General features: G+C 46.5%; 1 annotated feature.

Annotated features, from left to right (window-relative positions):
• Nucleotides 2,204–2,704: an enhancer, noted in NCBI's record as "H3K4me1 hESC enhancer chr2:96349017-96349517 (GRCh37/hg19 assembly coordinates)". NCBI's record gives its function as "activates a minimal SCP1, AML or CMV promoter by ChIP-STARR-seq in primed H9 embryonic stem cells {active_cell/tissue: H9 hESC(primed)}" and the evidence as "EXISTENCE:reporter gene assay evidence [ECO:0000049][PMID:30033119]".

Below are 6,504 nucleotides of genomic sequence, written 5' to 3' on the forward strand. Positions count from 1 at the left end.
GAGAAGGTCCAGCAGGAATCACGGGTTTGGGTCTCTGCCATTCCTAACTCCCTGGTGCCTCAGGCATCGACGGGCAGGATGCTTGGAGGCCATGGGCTGCAGCGGAAGGAACACATGCTTTGGAGACAGATTGCTCTGGATTCAACCCCTGGTTTGATCACTTCCTTCCTGTGATTTTGTGTCTCAGTTGCCCTTTCCATAAAATGGAATAACAGCTTTTTTTTTAGTCATAAGGTGTGAATAAGTGAATGCATATTCACAATATCAAATGACTCATTCATTTCATGAACCAACATGTGCCAGCACTGTGCTAGGATAGTTCTGTGGGCCATGCAGACAAGGTCCCTGTCCTCATGCAGTTTACTTTGGTGCCCAGCACAACATAGGCCCCTACAAGCACCACTTCATTCCTCCCATCTGTAAAGTTACCTGATTTCTGTCCTGCAGTGCCTGGCTCCATGCCAGTAATCAGGAAGGAGAAAGGGGTGAATCAGAGAAGCAGAACCTCAAACTTTGTTCTGAGCCCACAGTTCCTGAGCTAAGCAGGAGCCAGAGGTCAGCAGGGTGAGGCTGGGGGCTGGGGACCAAAGAGGAGGGTTGGCACGTCATATTCCTCCTTATCTGACTGCCCTTGCACCAGAGCCCAGAGAGTTTGACAATGATGATCTCACTAGTGTTCAAAGCTTCCCGAGGGAGGCCAACAGCAAAGCAGAAAGCACTGGAGTGTGCTTGTGTTGACAGCTGCCGGATCAGAGGGCCTGGCTTGGGATCACAGGCTGCGGGGGTGGTGAAGCAGTGTGCAGATTCTGAAGCCTGGCACTCCCACGTGGGGCCCCAGGAGCCAGGTTCACCCACACAGAAACTCAAGGGAGGCTGCGTTTCCTAACCAACAGCCTTCACCTTGTGGTAGATTCTTTTCCTGTGGGTCATCTCTTTCAATTCTCCCAAGACTGCAAAGAGAGATTATTGTTCCCATTTTCTAGATCAGAAAACTGAGGCTCAGAAGAGTGAAGTAGCCTGCTTAAGGACGCATGTCTTCATCATAATAGTTGGTATGCAGGTTCCCCTCCCTGTCTCCATCACACACACACACACACACACACACACACACACACACACACACACACACACACACACACTGCAATGACTGTCTCCTAGGCTGGCTAACAGTGGACCAAGATGAGCCCATCCTTATCTGCATCCTGCATCAGTCCACGGAGAGCAGGCAGCAGGGATAAGGATGGGGAAGACAGGGTCAAGGAGTCAGACTACAGGCACCCCTGTGGCTCAGGGCATAGAGGGGGCTCAGGACACATGGAGCACCCCCTTGCCCACGTTCCTTTTCCGGGTCTGCCTCTCTACCAGACCTCTCTCCTTCCTCCTTTTTCGCATCCTCTTTGGATTCATTTTCTCCTCTCATTTCCCCTTCTCTGCTTCCTGATTCACCCTTTGCTATCTTTTCCAGTCTTTTCCGTTCCTCTCTTCAGTCTCTCCCTCTCCCTTTGCTTCCTTTCCCTGGACTCCCCTGGCTCCTTCTCCCTTTCTCATCCTCCCTCGTGTTTTCCTGTTTGTCTCTTCGATCTCCTTCCCTCCTTTTCCGTTTGTCTCTCCCCGGCCTGCGCCCCTCCCCGCCGCTCGCACCCTCCCTCGCGCTACTCCCTCTGCGCAGCCAACCCTCCCTCCGCCCCCTCGGGCCCGCCCTCCCCTCGCCAGTCTTCCCCGTTCTCTCTCCGCTCTCGCTCTCCGTGGTTTAGTGCTTGCCCTCCTGCTTCTGACAAACTATTTGTAGGAAAATGAGATTTGGTCCGCGCTGGACGGCTCCTCTGGGAAGCAGGCGTGGGGGTCGGGTGTCGGAGGCCCCGTGCGTCCCCCCACCCCGTACCAGAGCCCACGGCGCTTACGGAGCTCTTTAAGATAAATGAGTAAAATTAAGAGACTCGCCGGGGGAAGAAAACACTGGAAGGGAGCGAGCGAGAGCGGATGGTACTTGGTTTCCTCCCAGAAATGCATCCACGTGCGCCCCACTGGGGCCTCCCCCATCTGCTGCAGACTCCAGGGAACTTCCTCCCCTCAAAGACAAACTTCCAGCCCTGGAGCATGTTTCTTCCTTCCCTGGGATGTGGCGCTGAAAAGGGTAGAAACCTCTAGTAAGGCACAAGCAACAGATTGGGGGTGGAGCAGCAGGTCTCTTTGGAGGTGGCCTGGAAGAAACCTGACAGAGAGGATGGGAAGGGGAGAAACAGAAGAGTGTGACGAGGTGGGTGTCCAAGGGCAGTGGGACAGGCTGTCCGGGTGGGAGAGTGGACTTGAGGAAGTAGCTGCAGGCCCAGACTACTTCAGCCACACCCTGATCCCCTGGGACCCTCAGGGCACAGAAGGCAGTGCTGGCTCCAACCTCAGTCCAAGGAGCTGTGGAAGCCTCAGAGGCCCTTGGCAGAGGTGAGCCCTCATTTCTCACCTCAAAGGCAGGGATTGAATCCTTGTCACCCAGACAAGGATTTTCTCTTGTCTGGGTGGCAGAACTATAAGTTGTCAGAGGGCAAGTAGTGGGTCTTTGGTTTTTCTGCAGTACCACAGGGCTAGCTTACCTTAGGCCATAAGTATTATTTGTTGAGATGCGTGAATACAAGAATGTCTTAAAAGCTCTAGGCTCAATTTTCAACTCCCACAGATGTGCAATGAAAACAATTTTCCAGACTACTTTTTTTCCCTCTTATTTTGAAAGCAATACACTTATTTTTTCCAACAAACATTGAGACAACAGAGATAAGCAACATAGAAGAAAATAATAATCACCTGTTATTCTACTATAAACAATTTGGAATTTATCCTAAATCTCAAAATATACATGTATTAAAACACAAGGTCATATTATAAACATTGTTTTGACCTGCTTTATTTCATTCGATGTTAAATTGCAAATACCTTTTTATATCATATTAAATATTTCTTCTAAAACTAAATTTTAAGTTGTTACAGTGTTTTATTATAGGTTTGTATGCTCTGTGGATGATTTTTTTTTAACAAGGCACATATTTTTGTTCATTTTGATTGTTTCTAAATTTTTGCTATTATCAAGATTTCCTAACTTTTGCATTATTCAGAGTTTTGTTTTTTTTTTGACAGAGTCTTGCACTGTTGCCCAGGCTGGAGTGCAGTGGTGCGATCTCCTGTCACTGCAAGCTCTACCTCCTGGGTTCACGCCATTCTCCTGCCTCAGCCTCCTGAGTAGCTGGGACCACAGGCGCCTGCCACCACACCCAGCTAAAGTTTTGTATTTTTAGTAGAGACGGGGTTTCACCGTGTTAGCCAGGATGGTCTTGATCTCCTTACCTTATGATCCGCCAGCCGTGGCCTCCCAAAGTGCTGGGATTACAGGTGTGAGCCACTGTACCCAGCCCAGATCATCCCATTTTTATCATAGTCAGTGTCTTAGTCTGTTTTGTGTTGCTGTAACAGAATACCACAGCCTAAGTAATTTATAAAGAAAAGATTTTTTTTGTTCTTACTGTTCTGGAGGCTGGGAAATCCAAGGTTGGGGGGCTGCATCTGGTGAGGACCTTCTTGCTGCATCATCCTACCAGGGAAGGAGGAAGGGGAAAAGAGCAGGAAGGAGCAAGAGAGAAAGCAGGGCAGACTCACCCCTTTTATCAGAAACCTGCTCCTTCAATAACTAACTCCCATGATAACATCATTAATCCATTAATGAGGACAGGCCCAATAACCCTTAAATATCCATCCTCTTAACACTGTTGCATTGGAGATTAAGTTACCAACATTTGAACTCTGGGGGACACATTCAGACCATAGCAGTCAGTTATAAAAGTGTGATTTATGTTTTTTCCTAGTTTCATAAGCATAAGATGTGACATATTTTAATAGTTGACAATTCTACAGGGCCTGCTCTGAGTTCCTAGCCTAGATCAGCCTTTCTAGAACTTTGTAGATTTTCAAAGATGACCAGTGCTGCAAGCCAGGGTAATCTGGAATGTTCTGGAAGCAAAGGAAGTGGATATGCCTTCAGCCATAAGAATCAAAAAATATATGGTATTTAAAGAAAAAGATTATTCAGCTCAAATCTTCCTAAAACATTTACAAAACAAATGTGCGTCAAGTTATAATACTGGGTGAAGTTACCTCTGATTGGTGTTAACTATGTTATGTGAGGATAACAATTTCAAAGTATATTAAAATGTAAAACTTGAAAATGGTGGAGTCATCCTAAGTATTATTTCATAAAATACCAGTAGAGAAGAAAAGGAGGATTTGACGTATAAAGATACGAGAGAAAAACATTCAAAATTATGTGACCTCACACAGGTAACCCTTTCAAGTGACAGGGCACTTTTCAAGTGGAAGCTTTCCTCCCTGCCTTGAAAACAAGGATGTGTGACTGGTGTCCATTTGTATGTCTGTCTGTCAGTCTGGAGTGTGTAGTCTCAGGAAGGCTGGAAGGTGATGCAAAACACTTTGATCATTTGTTCTTTGCGTTTGTGCTGCTATTAGCACTTGCATATGCTGTACTGAGACTTCTACTGACACGACCCCTCCAATCAATGTATTTCTTGGAGGACTCCTTACTCACTTGTTCTAAACTTCAGTATCCTGGGTCTCTGAGTGGCTCTCTAGGGCAGTAATGGTAGGAGGGCAGAGTTCACAAACTATGTTCAATATTTGGAAAGGACTGATTACCTACAGTAAAGTGACTTGGCTGGTAAAATGTCAGGTTTCTTTGCTTTGGGTTGATTTATAACAACTCAATTTGGGAATACATACTATCTCGATAGATTGCTCTGACTGGCATTTTTCTAGGTCTTTGATTTATAAATGAAAGGGAGAACTGATTATTCATTAAATACAGTCTATTTTTCCTAATTATGTAGGAAATCATATCTTTGTAATAAAAGGAGTGTTTGATAGAATGAGCTCATGAAGAAGAGTGTAGTGTTCAACTGTAGTTCTTTCTACTCCCCAGATGCCATTGGGGTAAAAGTTACCCAAATGAGAGAAGATTCTGTTGACCCTGAAGTTGAAGTATGGTGGAGATTTTCTAGAAAAATCCATTCAAATCTTTTTCTCTCCCAGATCATGAAGGAAAGAGGAGACATCTACTGAATGTAAGGTGGAGCCAAAGGCATCTATTGATGACTGAAGAGGAGGCATGAATATGACAAAAACAGGAACCTAGGCCAAAAAAGATGATTCATAGATGATTCAACCTGGAGGCCCCCACCTTATTTTATTAGTAAAAAAAGATGTGGTGGCAAGTGTATGGGGAGAGAAAAGAAATTAAAACACCATGATCCTTTTAATACAGTCCAAGATTTACTCTGCATAATCCAGTCATATTTTTGACAGTTCATACCTCCTCTGTCCCCAGTAACAGAATGGTGATCTTTATGGGGCTGGCGTGAGGAAGCTGGCAGGCACGGCCCCCGTCACATTAAACTGTCTCAGTGAAGAGGCAATTTGTTTGATATTAAGAGTTATAAAAATATCAGCACAGAGCGGTTATGCCATGGATATTGCACAAGCCAATCTGAATTTTAATGTAGTGTGAGCAATAAGCACCGCATTCCTGAACTCCTGCCATACTCCCTCTGCAAATATTTGAAGAGAAAAAGAGGTTTTGAGTGTTTTGCTCTTTTCCACTTGTGCTTCATGCAGGGTTGCTCCTCACCAGATGTGTGGGAGCTGGCAAGGGTTTCCAGGTGCCTGGAAGGGGGGTTCTCAGGAAGCCCCACACAGGAGATCCAATGGCATCCCTGGCATCGTGTGCAGAGAGAATGGGGTTGGCTTCCTAGCACCTCTGTTCATGCCCCTCACTCACAGAAGGAGTCATCCAGCAGCCAGGACTCAGCTCCTCCACCCAGTGTCTCCTGATTTTCATCCCAAGTATTCTTTAGTGTCTTAGTCCAATGGAATGCCATTGCCCAAGCATCCCACTCCCCTCCTCATCCTCTAAGTCCACCTTAAAATGCCCTTCTTCTTACTGTGCCCCGATCACACCCCGTCTCTTTAGCCCATAGGTGTACACTCTGACTTCTCCCCTCAGGCCCCTTCCATCGGTTTTCTCATTATTTCCCTTTACCGCCATTCCTCTCCCTTCACCTCCCAGTCACCTCTTCCCAGCCTCTTCTCCCATAAATATCCATTTAACCTTACAGATAGATCTTTCTGAAACATGCTAACCAATTAATTTCACTTCCACAGAGTGCCTACTCTGTGTCAGGTGTTGTGCTAGTGGCTGGAGGAGACACAAACATGAACAAGACCTGGTGGTCTCTGCTCTTCAGGGACTCACAGTCCAGTTGGGAGGGGGAAGAGGGGGTGCCAGAGGTGGTGGGGGTGCCAGACAAGGATTCTGGTCATTTTTACTCTGAGGGCAGAGTGATATAAGATCCCCAGTAGAGGTCCAAACACAGGCAGTAAAGGGCCTAAGAAGGAGAGATGTGTCTGAAGAGGGGAAAGAGAGAACATATCACGGTGGCTACTGGCTATGCC

The sequence above is a fragment of the Homo sapiens genome, chromosome 2, assembly GCF_000001405.40.
Source record: "Homo sapiens chromosome 2, GRCh38.p14 Primary Assembly".
In the NCBI taxonomy this organism is placed as follows: domain Eukaryota; kingdom Metazoa; phylum Chordata; class Mammalia; order Primates; family Hominidae; genus Homo; species Homo sapiens.